The following is a 17,246-nucleotide window of genomic DNA, read 5'->3' as shown; positions in this document are numbered from 1 at the left end:
TGTTGTGACCCTAGTGGAGCTTTGTGAGGTAATTGCAGCCTCCCTATGAGGGAGGAATAAACTGTGAGCCCCATTTAGAAATTATCCGCAGACCCCTGAAGATTAGGTGTCACTTACCCCCAAAAGCCCATGAATGCCCTATTTTAAAAACATTTGCTGGCTGGGCGCGGTGGCTCACGCCTGTAATCCCAGCACTTTGGGAGGCTGAGGTGGGTGAATCACCAGAGATCAGGAGTTCGAGACCAGCCTGGCCAACATGGTGAAACCCCATCTCTACTAAAAATACAAAATTAGCTGGGTGTGGTGGTGTGTACCTGTAGTCCCAGTTACTTGGGAGGCTGAGGCAGGAGAATCACTTGAACCCAGGAGGTGGAGGCTGAAGTGAGCCGGGAGGGTGCCGCTGCACTCCAGCCTAGGTGACAGAGCGAGACTGTGTCTCAGAAAAAAAACAAAAAACAAACAAAAAAAAACACCTTAAATGGAATCCTACCAGAAAAAAACATTAGTGGAATAGTTGATGAAATGTGAATAAAATCTGCAGATTAGTTAATAGTATTGTGTGAATGTTGATATTCTAGTTTTCACCGTTGTACTGTGATTGTATAATATGTTAACATTTGGGGAAGTGGAATGAAGGGTATACGAGAATGCTTTATGCTATTTTTGCAGCCTTTGTGTAAGTCTGAAATTATTCCAAAATAAAGGTTAAAATGTCCAAAACTAAATAAAGCGTTGTTCTGTGAGGAGTAGCGTGCTGAGGGAGGGGAAGCAGGAGACTTAGGATCCAACTGTCCTGGCTCAAGTCCTTCGCTGGGGACTCTGGGAGAGTTACCTCATCTCCCTAAGCTGGGTTTCTTCACCTGTAATATGAGAATGGGGAGAAAGACTCCACTTGAATTGTGGTAGAGACTAACTGGATGTAGGCAAAGAACCTGCTCCCAAGTCAGGTGTCAGGTGCATAAGAATGTCTTCTTCGTGATTCTTCTGTGACTCTGAACCCACACTTCACCCATGGCCTGTCATGTCCCGGAAGCCAGGCCACCTTCCATCATGACAATGTTGCTAGCACCAGTCACAACATCCTCCCTTGGCCCCAGAGCCTGTCTTGAGAGGACTTGTCCAGCCGGTGGAGGTGATACATTTGAAATTCCCTGAGCCTGAGCTGCCGAGGGCCACTTGCTGTAGAATAGATAATGAAGGATTCCGAGTAATCCGGGAAGCCACACAGACCTGTGCCGTCTCAGCATGCCCCAGACACCTGGGATACCCCCATCAGGCTGAGGCCCATAGAGAGGAAAAATAACATTGGGTGGGCCATATTAGAAACCCCATGGATGTGGGGCTCAAAGCATAAACAATAAATCTGCTTAAGAAATATGGGAGTTGGTTGTGTCCATAAAGAGGAAAATGAGTCACTGGCAATTTTAATTGAAGAAAAGGAAAACATAGACCCTGACTATGCCACAGAAAGAGATGTGAGGCGCCTAACAGGTCACACTGGCGTTCCTTAGCTTGTGTCAGCAAAATGCTGATTTCTGACTCTGTGGACATGGAATCAGGAAAAAAATATGATTCTGGTAAGGTACATGTATAAAGGGAGACAGGGAGCTTGGTTACAGCATGGAATAGGGGCAGAGCATAGTGGCTGACACCTGGGAGGCTGAGGCTAGGAGGATTGCTTCAGCCCAGGAGTTCCAGACCAGCCTGGGCAACATGGTGAAACCCCGTTTCCACAGAAAATACAAAAATTAGCCAGACATGGTGGCCCACATCTGTAGTCCCAGCTACTCTGGAGGCTGAGGTGGGAGGATCACCTGAGCCCAAGAGAGGTCGAGGCTGCAGTGAGCTGAGATCACACCAAGCACTCCAGCCTGGGCGACAGAACAAAGGGAAATAGAGGGCTTAGTTGTTGTCTGGTTACTGCCATGAAACAATGGAAAAATAGGGGCCTGAGTATTTCCGTGGAACAAGAGTAAATTAGGAGTGCTGGCTATAACAAATAGGAGCCCTGTTCTTGCCAATAAAAGAAGGGAAAAATATGAGCTCTGGTTAGACCATGGAATAACAGGAAATATGAGGTCTGCTCATGTCTGTGGAATAAGGAGCATAGGAGAGAAGGATTGCAGAAGGGCATGAGAAAACTTCAGGTGATAGATATGTCTGTTGTATGAATTGTAGTGATAATTCCACAGGTGCATACGTATGACAAATTTCATCAAATTGTACACTTTAAATATGTGCAATTTGGCCAGGCGCCGTGGCTCACACCTGTAATCCCAACACTTTGGGGAGGCCAAGGTGGGCAGATCACATGAGGCCAGGAGTTCAAGACCTGCCTGGCCAACATGGTGAAACCCCATCTCTACTAAAAAACACAAAAATTAGCCGGGGAGCACATGCCTGTAGTCTCAGCAACTCTGGAGGCTGAGATGAAAGGATCGCTTGAGCCCTGGAGGTCTAGAATGCAGTGAGCTGTGATTGTGCCACTGCACTCCAGCCTGCCCAGCAGAGTAAGACCCCGTCTGAAAAAAAAAAAAAAAAAGAAAGAAAGAAAAAGTATGTTTCCCAGGAGTCCAGCAAACTGGGCCTCCTGTCTCATAAGCTGAACCTGGTAACAGGCCACTGCTGGACCAGGCATGATGGCAAGTGTGGGATTCCTGTTGGATCAACCCGTGGCTGGGTGCTGTGTGGGCGAGATGGTGTGTGTCCCACAGAGGCCCCCTATGAGCTGCACAACTTCCTGGTTCTGTCTGTTGACGACCAAGCTCAGGATTTCTTTATCAGTCCAGCTCCTAGGAGAAGCAGGAAATAAACAAGAACATGATGATGTGTTTTATCCCAGCAGGCTCTGCTTATGTGGGCTGAGGAACCTGCAGACAGGGAGCTTCCTGGCTGTAGTTCTTCATCACTCCTTCACCAGTAGATATGGCATTGGTGCTGGGAAAGGGTCACACTGTGACACTCTCTTCATCAGCCGACATCTGCTATCTGAAATTTTCTGATCATTCTGGGGAAACAAATAATCCTCTGTAAACAACACGGCTGATCTCGGTTGGTTTCTTCTCTCCACTCTATTTTTTTTTTTTTTTTTTTTTTTTGCATGTAGCACTATTTGACAAGCTCTTCTTTGTCCCCTAAATAATCCTGTTCTAGGCTGGCTGCTGACCTGGAGATAACCCAGGCAGAAAGCAAATCTATTTGCGACCCACCTGCTGCTGGGCACCCTCCAAACATGGCCCAGGAAGGAATGGTCAGCAGTCTGTGCCTGCTTGAGGAATCTCCCAACTGTGGCTGCAGGGCAGGGGTAGGGGAGCACAGTCCATGCTGCCAGCAGCAGCTCCCACTGCAGCCCTGAGCCCTCGCCCCCAGGGCAGCAGCAGAAGAACATGGCTGATCTTGGCTGGAAATGCCTTCTGATTCTGGGGAGCAGGCCAGCAGCAGGCGCACAGAAAGTCAGCAAACAAGGCGGTGCTACAGATGGCTCCAAGCTGGCATCGCTCCAAAGGTCCCAGGGTACATTTTCTCTTTCCAGACACAGAAACATGAGAAATCACAAGGCTTAAAAAGTGAGAGCGTGTCACAAGAGGCCAAGGATGCCCAGAGTGGAGGGGCTTGTGGGGAGGTCATCGTCCTCATCCAGCCTTTGGTCTCCTTTCTGCAGACGTTTTCCACAACACAATATCTGTTTACCAGCTCTTAAATAGTCATCAGGTTCCATTTTGAAAGCAAAGAAAAAGCAGGTGGATTCTGCAGGCTGCGACACTCCTGCTTCCACCTTCTCCTGCGATCTGTCTGGTTTTCTGTAAGCAGATGCTTTTCCCACTGAAGCAATGAGCAGCAAAAGCGGAAGAGGGCCAAGAGTCTGTTGAAATCTGTAATTAAGTCTTCAAGTTCAAATCTTTTGCCCATTTTTCTGTTTGGTTGTCTTCAATTGATTTGTAGGATTTATTTATCCTTCTTGCAAATGTCATCCTCTGGGTTGTGGTTGTCTTTTCATTTTATTTATGGCATGTTGATGAAAAAATATTCTTAATCTTAATGGAAAGAATGTATTGATTTTTCTTTCTTGTGGTTTGCATTTTTTATGTCTTATTTAGGAAATCAAGGTCATAAAGCTACTTTTAAATATTTTTTCTGAAATTCTTAAAGTTTAGCATTTCCCATTTACGTCCATAATCCATCTAGATTTTTGTGCGTGGTATGTTTACTAATGTTTTCTTCAGAATTTTTGTATCTATCTTCATGAGTTAAACTGGGCTGTGATTGTTTTTTCTCATATTGTGCTTTCCTGGTTTGGGTTTCAAGGTTATACTGGCCTCATCCAACGGGTTGGGGAGCATGTCAGTCTGGGTCTCCACAGTCAGCACAGGCACACTTGCAACAGGAGAGTTCAGGGCAGTTTCTATACGGGGCGCTGTGCAATGGTGCAGGGACACAGAAACCCTGGGACACAGGGCAAGTGTCTGCAGCAGCCATGCCACCTAGCCTAAGCCTGAAAGATGAGGCAAACATCTAGAAAGAATTGGAGTGCCAGCTGGCCACTTTGTGGAGAGAGCAGGGGACAAACACCATGATGTCAGTCTCCTCTGTCCTCTACCTCATTCCTAGGCATCTTGTTGTCAAATACAAGCAGAAGTTATAGGGCACAAGAGCCCCACGGATGGAGTCCATAGCAGCCTGTGTTGTGAAGCAGAGAGCAGCATGGAGAAAGTGCCTTAGTCAGGGTTCTCCAGAGAAACACAGAGATATGAAGAGATTTGTTATAAAGGATTGGCTTGTACAATTATGGAGGCCTCGAAGTCCACCATCTGCTGTTTGCAAGCTGGAAACCAAGGAAAGCCAATGGTATAGTTGGAAGGCCTGAGAGCTGGAGAGCCACGGGTGTGGATTCCAACCTGAGTCTGAAGGCTTAATAACCAGGAGCGCTGAGGGCAGGAGAAGATTGATGTCACAGTCCAAACAGCCAGGCAGAGCTAATTCAACCATCTGCCACTCGGGCACTCAGTGGATTGGATTGAATGGTGTCACTCACATTGGAGGGGCCATTTGCTTTACTCAGTCCACTGATTCAAATGCTGACCTTTTCCAGAAACATCCTCACAGACCCATCCAGAAATAACATTTAACAGATAGTGGGCATTCCGTGGCCCAGTCAAGTTGACACGTAAAATTAACCATAACAGAAGGTTAGCCAGTGGGGCTAGGGAGCAAATAGAAATTAGCCAGCACCAGATGATTTCCCTCTGTCTTAGTTCTCTTGAAAAGCTGCTAGTTTTTATCTTTTTGCCCATTTCTTTTAGGGATTGGGAAAGGGATATTCTATGATCTGACTTCATTTCATTTCTTTATCCAGATACTGTCCCAATGTGCAGCTGATTTTCATCATTTGCAGAAGGTATCTTCTATAAAATCTCTGCAAACATGGAAGTAGTAAATGCTAAACCATTGTGCCCAGGAAAAACACAAGGTTTGGTTTCCTTGAGTCTCTGGTTACAACACTTTCTGTCAATTGATCAATATTTAACCTTATTTTATGTGTGTCTCTAGTTAGAGGTGTCTTTTAAATATATATTGTTGACTCATTGTCATCAAGCTCACCACCAACAGTCCTGTAAATGCCTGAATGAAGCTTATTTAAGACACATTTTCTCCATAAGGCACCTCACAGTCTTCTTGTGCCTAGGAACTAGATAGCACTGCAGCACTATGCCTGGGGCCATTTTAATCAGCAAAATCACCAACCAAAAAAAGCACAAAACTCAAACCACATGTGATAGCTCATACCTGTAATGCCAACACTTTGGGAGGCCAAGGCTGAAGACACTTGAGCTCAGGAGTTCGAGATCAGCCTGGGCAACACAGCAAGACCCCACCTCTAAAAAAAAAACCAATACAAAATTGTGAAACGTGGCACTAAACAGGCTGTGAAGAAGGACACATTAACAATATAAGAGCTAGAACAAGGCTGGGAGTGGTGGCTCAAGGCCAAGGCAGGTGGATTACCTGAGGTCAGGAGTTCGAGACCAGCCTGATCAACATGGGGAAACCCCATCTCTAGTAAAAATACAAAACTTAGCTGGGTATGGTGGCACGTGCCTGTAGTCTCAAATACCTGGGAGGCTGAGGCAGGAGAATTGCTTGAACCCAGGAGGTGTAGGTTGCAGTGAGCTGAGATCGAGCCACTGCACTCCAGCCTGGTAGACAGAGTGAGACACCATCTCGAAAACAAACAAACAAACAAAAACAACAACAGTTGGAACAAGAAGGCAGATTGCTGCTGTATTTGACCTCAGCTTGGAACATATGTGTCAGGCCACCCACATTTTTGCCCACTCTGAGCGTCTGTGAATGACGGCAAAAGTGCCACAAGTGTTGATTTTAGGAATGCAACTTAATTTTAGCAAGTAGGTGAGTTTGCAAATATGAAATCCATGAATAATAAGGGTTGACTGTGTTTTTAAAGACAGTTACTACCATGTTAAGAGTAGATTTGCGAAGACCCAGTTCTTCCCACCTGATAATGAAGAAATGCTAGTACCGCACCCTAAATAAGCCTGGGACGGTGTAATCTAGTGATGGGGAAATTATTTCACTTTCCAAGACAGTCTTAGATGTTTCCATAAGAGCCAAATGTGATGCAAACCAAATATGCCACCGTGGAAAAAGGTTTTGTGAAATCTGATTTATTCAACTATTGGCCATTAACAACCAATTACAAACACTTATAGCAACAGAGAAAATATATGTTTCATAAACAAACAAAAAATACAAACTACAAGCATACTCCTAATAATACTTACACATGTGTAAGTTTGATGGATAAAAATGAGATAGCACTATATATGTATAAAAAATTAAAAATGTTTCATTGAGCAGGTAGAATTATGAGCATCTTTTTTTCCCTAAAATTTCTCCTAATGTAATATTAAATAATCATGTGAAAGGAATTCAAAGAGTATGTGAGAAATAAACCATTTTTCCCTTTAAGCAGTTGTGTCTGTGGCTCACAACCATTTAACTTACATTAAGCATAGATAAGAAAGGTCCTAGAATATATAATATAAATAAAAATTGTCAAAATGATCTTATGCCCATTTGCCATAAATAAAGGCATCAAGTTAATTTCAAAACTTGTTTTTAGACTTTTACATCAACTAATAAAAAGAAGAATATTTGGTCGGGCACAGTGGCTCATGCCTGTAATCCCAGCACTTTGGGAGTCTGAGATGGAAAGACTGCTTGAGCTCAGGAGTTTGAGACCAGCCTGGGCAAGAGAGCAAGACCTCATCTCTACTAAAAATAAAAATTAAAAAACAACTGGGTTTGGTGGTACATGCCTGTAGTCCCAGCTACTCAGGAGGCTGAGGTAGGAGGACCACTTACGCCTGGGAGATTTAGGCTGCAGTGAGCTTTGATTGTGCATTTTATTTTTTTTTATTTTTTTTTTTTGATGCTGTATTCTTTATTGCATCTTATCGACTGGTGCATGATTTCGGTTTTTCTCATTTTTTTTTTTTTTTTTTATTATACTCTAAGTTTTAGGGTACATGTGCACATTGTGCAGGTTAGTTACATATGTATACATGTGCCATGCTGGTGCGCTGCACCCACTAATGTGTCATCTAGCATTAGGTATATCTCCCAATGCTATCCCTCCCCCCTCCCCCGACCCCACCACAGTCCCCAGAGTGTGATATTCCCCTTCCTGTGTCCATGTGATCTCATTGTTCAATTCCCACCTATGAGTGAGAATATGCGGTGTTTGGTTTTTTGTTCTTGCGATAGTTTACTGAGAATGATGGTTTCCAATTTCATCCATGTCCCTACAAAGGATATGAACTCATCATTTTTTATGGCTGCATAGTATTCCATGGTGTATATGTGCCACATTTTCTTAATCCAGTCTATCATTGTTGGACATTTGGGTTGGTTCCAAGTCTTTGCTATTGTGAATAGTGCCGCAATAAACATACGTGTGCATGTGTCTTTATAGCAGCATGATTTATAGTCCTTTGGGTATATACCCAATAATGGGATGGCTGGGTCAAATGGTATTTCTAGTTCTAGATCCCTGAGGAATCGCCACACTGACTTCCACAATGGTTGAACTAGTTTACAGTCCCACCAACAGTGTAAAAGTGTTCCTATTTCTCCACATCCTCTCCAGCACCTGTTGTTTCCTGACTTTTTAATGATTGCCATTCTAACTGGTGTGAGATGATATCTCATAGTGGTTTTGATTTGCATTTCTCTGATGGCCAGTGATGATGAGCATTTCTTCATGTGTTTTTTGGCTGCATAAATGTCTTCTTTTGAGAAGTGTCTGTTCATGTCCTTCGCCCACTTTTTGATGGGGTTGTTTGTTTTTTTCTTGTAAATTTGTTTGAGTTCATTGTAGATTCTGGATATTAGCCCTTTGTCAGATGAGTAGGTTGCAAAAATTTTCTCCCATGTTGTAGGTTGCCTGTTCACTCTGATGGTAGTTTCTTTTGCTGTGCAGAAGCTCTTTAGTTTAATTAGATCCCATTTGTCAATTTTGGCTTTTGTTGCCATTGCTTTTGGTGTTTTGGACATGAAGTCCTTGCCCACGCCTATGTCCTGAATGGTAATGCCTAGGTTTTCTTCTAGGGTTTTTATGGTTTTAGGTCTAACGTTTAAATCTTTAATCCATCTTGAATTGATTTTTGTATAAGGTGTAAGGAAGGGATCCAGTTTCAGCTTTCTACATATGGCTAGCCAGTTTTCCCAGCACCATTTATTAAATAGGGAATCCTTTCCCCATTGCTTGTTTTTCTCAGGTTTGTCAAAGATCAGATAGTTGTAGATATGCGGCATTATTTCTGAGGGCTCTGTTCTGTTCCATTGATCTATATCTCTGTTTTGGTACCAGTACCATGCTGTTTTGGTTACTGTAGCCTTGTAGTATAGTTTGAAGTCAGGTAGTGTGATGCCTCCAGCTTTGTTCTTTTGGCTTAGGATTGACTTGGCGATGCGGGCTCTTTTTTGGTTCCATATGAACTTTAAAGTAGTTTTTTCCAATTCTGTGAAGAAAGTCATTGGTAGCTTGATGGGGATGGCATTGAATCTGTAAATTACCTTGGGCAGTATGGCCATTTTCACGATATTGATTCTTCCTACCCATGAGCATGGAATGTTCTTCCATTTGTTTGTGTCCTCTTTTATTTCCTTGAGCAGTGGTTTGTAGTTCTCCTTGAAGAGGTCCTTCACATCCCTTGTAAGTTGGATTCCTAGGTATTTTATTCTCTTTGAAGCAATTGTGAATGGGAGTTCACTCATGATTTGGCTCTCTGTTTGTCTGTTGTTGGTGTATAAGAATGCTTGTGATTTTTGTACATTGATTTTGTATCCTGAGACTTTGCTGAAGTTGCTTATCAGCTTAAGGAGATTTTGGGCTGAGACGATGGGGTTTTCTAGATAAACAATCATGTCGTCTGCAAACAGGGACAATTTGACTTCCTCTTTTCCTAATTGAATACCCTTTATTTCCTTCTCCTGCCTGATTGCCCTGGCCAGAACTTCCAACACTATGTTGAATAGGAGCGGTGAGAGAGGGCATCCCTGTCTTGTGCCAGTTTTCAAAAGGAATGCTTCCAGTTTTTGCCCATTCAGTATGATATTGGCTGTGGGTTTGTCATAGATAGCTCTTATTATTTTGAAATACGTCCCATCAATACCTAATTTATTGAGAGTTTTTAGCATGAAGGGTTGTTGAATTTTGTCAAAGGCTTTTTCTGCATCTATTGAGATAATCATGTGGTTTTTGTCTTTGGCTCTGTTTATATGCTGGATTACATTTATTGATTTGCGTATATTGAACCAGCCTTGCATCCCAGGGATGAAGCCCACTTGATCATGGTGGATAAGCTTTTTGATGTGCTGCTGGATTCAGTTTGCCAGTATTTTATTGAGGATTTTTGCATCAATGTTCATCAAGGATATTGGTCTAAAATTCTCTTTTTTGGTTGTGTCTCTGCCCGGCTTTGGTATCAGAATGATGCTGGCCTCATAAAATGAGTTAGGGAGGATTCCCTCTTTTTCTATTGATTGGAATAGTTTCAGAAGGAATGGTACCAGTTCCTCCTTGTACCTCTGGTAGAATTCGGCTGTGAATCCATCTGGTCCTGGACTCTTTTTGGTTGGTAAACTATTGATTATTGCCACAATTTCAGATCCTGTTATTGGTCTATTCAGAGATTCAACTTCTTCCTGGTTTAGTCTTGGGAGAGTGTATGTGTCGAGGAATGTATCCATTTCTTCTAGATTTTCTAGTTTATTTGCGTAGAGGTGTTTGTAGTATTCTCTGATGGTAGTTTGTATTTCTGTGGGATCGGTGGTGATATCCCCTTTATCATTTTTTATTGTGTCTATTTGATTCTTCTCTCTTTATTTCTTTATTAGTCTTGCTAGTGGTCTATCAATTTTGTTGATCCTTTCAAAAAACCAGCTCCTGGATTCATTGATTTTTTGAAGGGTTTTTTGTGTCTCTATTTCCTTCAGTTCTGCTCTGATTTTAGTTATTTCTTGCCTTCTGCTAGCTTTTGAATGTGTTTGCTCTTGCTTTTCTAGTTCTTTTAATTGTGATGTTAGGGTGTCAATTTTGGATCCTTCCTGCTTTCTCTTGTAGGCATTTAGTGCTATAAATTTCCCTCTACACACTGCTTTGAATGCGTCCCAGAGATTCTGGTATGTGGTGTCTTTGTTCTCGTTGGTTTCAAAGAACATCTTTATTTCTGCCTTCATTTCGTTATGTACCCAGTAGTCATTCAGGAGCAGGTTGTTCAGTTTCCATGTAGTTGAGCGGCTTTGAGTGAGATTCTTAATCCTGAGTTCTAGTTTGATTGCACTGTGGTCTGAGAGATAGTTTGTTATAATTTCTGTTCTTTTACATTTGCTGAGGAGAGCTTTACTTCCAACTATGTGGTCAATTTTGGAATAGGTGTGGTGTGGTGCTGAAAAAAAATGTATATTCTGTTGATTTGGGGTGGAGAGTTCTGTAGATGTCTATTAGGTCTGCTTGGTGCAGAGCTGAGTTCAATTCCTGGGTATCCTTGTTGACTTTCTGTCTCGTTGATCTGTCTAATGTTGACAGTGGGGTGTTAAAGTCTCCCATTATTAATGTGTGGGAGTCTAAGTCTCTTTGTAGGTCACTGAGGACTTGCTTTATGAATCTGGGTGCTCCTGTATTGGGTGCATAAATATTTAGGATAGTTAGCTCCTCTTGTTGAATTGATCCCTTTACCATTATGTAATGGCCTTCTTTGTCTCTTTTGATCTTTGTTGGTTTAAAGTCTGTTTTATCAGAGACTAGGATTGCAACCCCTGCCTTTTTTTGTTTTCCATTGGCTTGGTAGATCTTCCTCCATCCTTTTATTTTGAGCCTATGTGTGTCTCTGCACGTGAGATGGGTTTCCTGAATACAGCACACTGATGGGTCTTGACTCTTTATCCAACTTGCCAGTCTGTGTCTTTTAATTGCAGAATTTAGTCCATTTATATTTAAAGTTAATATTGTTATGTGTGAATTTGATCCTGTCATTATGATGTTAGCTGGTGATTTTGCTCATTAGTTGATGCAGTTTCTTCCTAGTCTCGATGGTCTTTACATTTTGGCATGATTTTGCAGCAGCTGGTACTGGTTGTTCCTTTCCATGTTTAGCGCTTCCTTCAGGAGCTCTTTTAGGGCAGGCCTGGTGGTGACAAAATCTCTCAGCATTTGCTTGTCTATAAAGTATTTTATTTCTCCTTCACTTATGAAGCTTAGTTTGGCTGGATATGAAATTCTGGGTTGAAAATTCTTTTCTTTAAGAATGTTGAATATTGGCCCCCACTCTCTTCTGGCTTGTAGGGTTTCTGCCGAGAGATCCGCTGTTAGTCTGATGGGCTTTCCTTTGAGGGTAACCCGACCTTTCTCTCTGGCTGCCCTTAACATTTTTTCCTTCATTTCAACTTTGGTGAATCTGACAATTATGTGTCTTGGAGTTGCTCTTCTCGAGGAGTATCTTTGTGGCGTTCTCTGTATTTCCTGAATCTGAACGTTGGCCTGCCTTGCTAGATTGGGGAAGTTCTCCTGGATAATATCCTGCAGAGTGTTTTCCAACTTGGTTCCATTCTCCACATCACTTTCAGGTACACCAATCAGACGTAGATTTGGTCTTTTCACATAGTCCCATATTTCTTGGAGGCTTTGCTCATTTCTTTTTATTCTTTTTTCTCTAAACTTCCCTTCTCGCTTCATTTCATTCATTTCATCTTCCATTGCTGATACCCTTTCTTCCAGTTGATCGCATCGGCTCCTGAGGCTTCTGCATTCTTCACGTAGTTCTCGAGCCTTGGTTTTCAGCTCCATCAGCTCCTTTAAGCACTTCTCTGTATTGGTTATTCTAGTTATACATTCTTCTAAATTTTTTTCAAAGTTTTCAACTTCTTTGCCTTTGGTTTGAATGTCCTCCCGTAGCTCAGAGTAATTTGATCGTCTGACGCCTTCTTCTCTCAGCTCGTCAAAATCATTCTCCATCCAGCTTTGTTCTGTTGCTGGTGAGGAACTGCGTTCCTTTGGAGGAGGAGAGGCGCTCTGCGTTTTAGAGTTTCCAGTTTTTCTGTTCTGTTTTTTCCCCATCTTTGTGGTTTTATCTACTTTTGGTCTTTGATGATGGTGATGTACAGATGGGTTTTCGGTGTAGATGTCCTTTCTGGTTGTTAGTTTTCCTTCTAACAGACAGGACCCTCAGCTGCAGGTCTGTTGGAATACCCTGCCGTGTGAGGTGTCAGTGTGCCCCTGCTGGGGGGTGCCTCCCAGTTAGGCTGCTCGGGGGTCAGGGGTCAGGGACCCACTTGAGGAGGCAGTCTGCCCGTTCTCAGATCTCCAGCTGCGTGCTGGGAGAACCACTGCTCTCTTCAAAGCTGTCAGACAGGGACACTTAAGTCTGCAGAGGTTACTGCTGTCTTTTTGTTTGTCTGTGCCCTGCCCCCAGAGGTGGAGCCTACAGAGGCAGGCAGGCCTCCTTGAGCTGTGGTGGGCTCCACCCAGTTCGAGCTTCCCGGCTGCTTTGTTTACCTAAGCAAGCCTGGGCAATGGCGGGCGCCCCTCCCCCAGCCTCGTTGCCGCCTTGCAGTTTGATCTCAGACTGCTGTGCTAGCAATCAGCGAGATTCCGTGGGCGTAGGACCCTCTGAGCCAGGTGTGGGATATAGTCTCGTGGTGCGCCGTTTCTTAAGCCGGTCTGAAAAGCGCAATATTCGGGTGGGAGTGACCCGATTTTCCAGGTGCGTCCGTCACCCCTTTCTTTGACTCGGAAAGGGAACTCCCTGACCCCTTGTGCTTCCCAGGTGAGGCAATGCCTCGCCCTGCTTCGGCTCGCGCACGGTGCGCACACACACTGGCCTGCGCCCACTGTCTGGCACTCCCTAGTGAGATGAACCCGGTACCTCAGATGGAAATGCAGAAATCACCCGTCTTCTGCGTCGCTCACGCTGGGAGCTGTAGACCGGAGCTGTTCCTATTCGGCCATCTTGGCTCCTCCCCTGATTGTGCATTTTAGCCTGGGCAACAGAGCGACACCCTGTCTCAAAAAAAAAAAAAAAAAAAAAAAAAAGAAGAAGAAGAAGAAGAGCACTTACTAATGACAATAATATATATTTTCTCATAAGCATTTATTTTAACTTAATTTACCATTTTTTGTTTTCTGTAACAGATATTTGCGTATATTTAATTTTACCTTTTCTAACTTTTTGGTCTGAATTTTATAGAGTAATTTTTTAAGGAAAGGTTAAATAAGATTAATAAAGTTACATTTGGGGAAACTTGTAACAGTTTTCACAGGGTGTGAAATGTCACCCCACACACATAACACACAAACACTTAAACTGATGTTGTTTCAAAAAGTTTTTTAGAGATTAACAAAAGCTGTTTAATTATTTCTCTGAAATGTGCCATTCAAATGTTCTTGGGTTTTGTTAGTCTATGAGAAAAATGAAAAGAATCACTGTAAATAGAACAATTAAATTCTGTCCTTAGAATTGCACAACCTCATCCACACAGATGGAAGATTTATTTTCATTAATGCATTCCTTTAACGATTTTGGGTGAAGAGCCTCCTGAAATGGACTTCTTCCTTCCCTGCCTTCTGAAGCAGAACACTCTGCTTTAGATGGTTTGACCTTGTCCGATGACTCTGAGCCACGCTTAGCATTTCAGGCAGAACGAAGGCTGAGATGTCATCAGAGAAGGCCACTGCAGACCTGGGCAGGGACCGTTGGGCCATGCCATGCAGGGCCATGTGAGCTGAAGGCTGTCCCCCAACGCCAGCGTAGGGGCTCCAGCTTCCCAACTTTGTCAATGCAACCAGAGTGGACCAGGGTGAGCACGGACTCCCTCTAACCTAGCTGTCGTGGTGTGAAAACATCTGCAAATCCTCAGAGGCCCTCCCATCAGGAGATGTCGTCTCATTTCCCTCCCCTTTAATGTGGGTGAGCCTTCTTGCTTTGCTTCAGTGAAGCAGCAGTGATGTCCCATAATTTTCCATACTGGATCTTTGCCTGGTGCTTTCTCCCCTTCTGTGAACACACACAGATGGCTACACCCTTTCCCCATATCGATTCTGTTCTTTTCTGACTCTGGCTTTCTTAGTATTGGGGTTCTCAAGTAGCTTCAGCCCTGTCTTGATGGATCATCTTTCGGGGTATGTGCTGATTCAGTCTGAGTGTCCAGGTGTCCACCTCCATCTTCTCACAGGGAAAAGCCAGCAGTACTGTTGGCTCTGCCTTGTTCAGGCTACGCTCCTTTCCTGCTCTGCCTTCTCAGAAACTCCCTGAAGCCTTTTTCTTCTTTTCTTACAAGTGTCCAGAACTTCTGAAAAGCAAAGCACATAGAGGCTAGTGCCATCCACTAGGACTTGTGGAATGATAAAATTGTTCTCTGTCTGTGCAGTCCATATAGTAGTGTAGGGGGGCATCTCAGGCTCCTGGTGGAGTCTGAAAATTAAACTTACATAAGACAAGTTAATAGCAGGAAAGCACACAGGTGTATTTGATACAAGTTTTACATGGCATGGGAGGCCTCATAAGGAAATGAAAACCCAAAGAGGCAGTTAGAGTGTGTTACTTATTTACTGAATTGGACAAAGAATAGTAAACTGAAAATGTGATGAGGCAGAGGGGCTTGGGCTAGGGTAGTTAATTGGATAGAAAAGTGACTAAGAAGATAAGGGTTAGTTTAATAGGGTTTGTACAGAATTCTCTTAGCCTCAACTTCCTGTCTTTGATGATAAGAATGTTGCTTTAGTTCTAGTATAAGAGGGACATCTTTCATATGGGAATTTCATCTCTTGCCTTTAAATAAACAAGAGGTTGGGGCCAGGCGCGGTGGCTCACGCCTGTAATCCCAGCACTTTGGGAGGCCGAGGCTGGTGGATCACGAGGTCAGGAGATCGAGACCATGCTGGCTAACACAGTGAAACCCCGTCTCTACTAAAAATCCAAAAAATTAGCCGGGTGTGGTGGTGGGTGCCTGTAGTCCCAGCTACTTGGGAGGCTGAGGCAGGAGAATGGCGTGAACCTGGGAGGCGGAACTTGCAGTGAGCCACTGCACTCTGGCCTGGGCAACAGAGTGAAACTCTGTCTCAAAAAAAAAAAAAAAAGAAAGAAAGAAACAAGAGGTCAAAGTGTCCAGTGTGTATTCTGTATGCAAAAAAGAAAAGAAAAAGTCAAAATAATCTTCTTGCACCTGTCGTTTTTTGGGTGTCTAACTTTTTTTTTTTTTTTTGAGCAGAGTCTCACTCACTCTGTCGCCCAGGCTGGAGTGTAATGGTGCAATCTCGGCTCACTGCAACCTCTGTTCCACCTCTCAGGTTCAAGTGATTCTCCTGCCTCAGCCTCCTGAGTAGCTGGGATTACAGGCATGCACCACGACACCTAACTAATTTTTGTATTTTTTGTAAATTTTGTATTTTTGGTAGAGATGGGGTTTTACTGTGTTGGCCAGGTTGGTCTTGAACTACTCACCTCAAGTGATCCGCTTGCCTTGGCCTCCCAAAGTGCTGGGATTACAGGCGTGAGCCACCGCCCTCAAGTATCTAACTTAGTCAATCCACCAGGTGTCTAACTTAGTCAATCCACCAGGATGCTATATTTATAACTCTTTCAGTAGCCACTGGCTATGTGTGGCTATTGAGCACTTGAAATACGGCTAGTACAGCCAAGAAATGGAACTTTACATTTTATTTAATATTATTTAACTTGAATGTAAATAGCCACCAGTGGTGAGTGGCTCCATCCTGGGCAGCGCAGGTGTGGGCAGTGGGTCCTTTGGCTCTTCTCCAAGATGACTTCTATTCTTCTCCTGATCCACACCAGGGGTGCTTCTCCTTTCCTTTTCCTTCTTGTTTCAAGGATTCCTCAGCTGTCTCTCTAGTCAGGCCTTATTCTGTGAGGTTCATCTCTCTGCCCTGCCTCCTTTCCTCCCCCAGCCTTTGGGAGAATAAAACACTAGCTCTACCCAGTAATTAAGGTTTGAAGGTTTTCTCCCACTTTGGTGTGGACTGGCAGAACGGTGGGAGTGCCCACAAATTTCCTGTGACAAAGAAGAGAATGAAGGAAATTACTAGAAACCACCAAAAATGTCTCTCTTAATTGCAAGTGCTAGCTTCGGGGAGGCAGTCTGTTCCAGCTCCTTTTCAACTGACTACAGATATGAGAATCTAGAACTGTGTGCTTTAGGATAGGGATGGAGAGTTCTTTTCAAAATGTGCATTTTCTAGACCCCAGCTGCAAGAGACCTTGATACCAAAACCCAGTGGCCTAGGAATCAGTATTTCTTAAATATCCATTAGAGCTTCTGCATCGAACCACGTTAGGGAACAACTGATTTAATCAACACACTGATTTACTTAGGAGCTTTTGACTTAGCCTCACTCCATTAAGCCCCCATAGACTGCTCTGCTTTCCAAATGCTTATGTTCACTTTTTACAGTTTTTCTCTGGTCTCCCCTGCATTTACGGTCACCTCCAATTTCCCGCCTCCTTCTCTCTCCAAAAACACACAGCTCAGCTTTTCAAAGTTAGAATAATGCATGTAGTAATCGTAAATAAACTGCACGAAGAGCTGAGATTTCTTTCTATCTCTACGGAGTCCTGAAATGTATGAACTCTGTGACATGTGCTTTAGTCAACTTTCTTTCTAGGAGTTTGGCCCCTCTTGCCTTGCCCTCTACAGACAGTCTTCATTTTCTA

General features: G+C 43.5%; 1 annotated feature.

Moving 5' to 3' along the window:
* Positions 13,160-13,867: an enhancer, noted in NCBI's record as "H3K27ac-H3K4me1 hESC enhancer chr20:23406421-23407128 (GRCh37/hg19 assembly coordinates)". NCBI's record gives its function as "activates a minimal SCP1, AML or CMV promoter by ChIP-STARR-seq in primed H9 embryonic stem cells {active_cell/tissue: H9 hESC(primed)}" and the evidence as "EXISTENCE:reporter gene assay evidence [ECO:0000049][PMID:30033119]".

The sequence above is a fragment of the Homo sapiens genome, chromosome 20 (assembly GCF_000001405.40).
Source record: "Homo sapiens chromosome 20, GRCh38.p14 Primary Assembly".
NCBI lineage: Eukaryota > Metazoa > Chordata > Mammalia > Primates > Hominidae > Homo > Homo sapiens.
The sequence above is the reverse complement of the archived record's forward strand: the minus strand, read 5'-3'. Positions and strand labels throughout refer to the sequence as shown.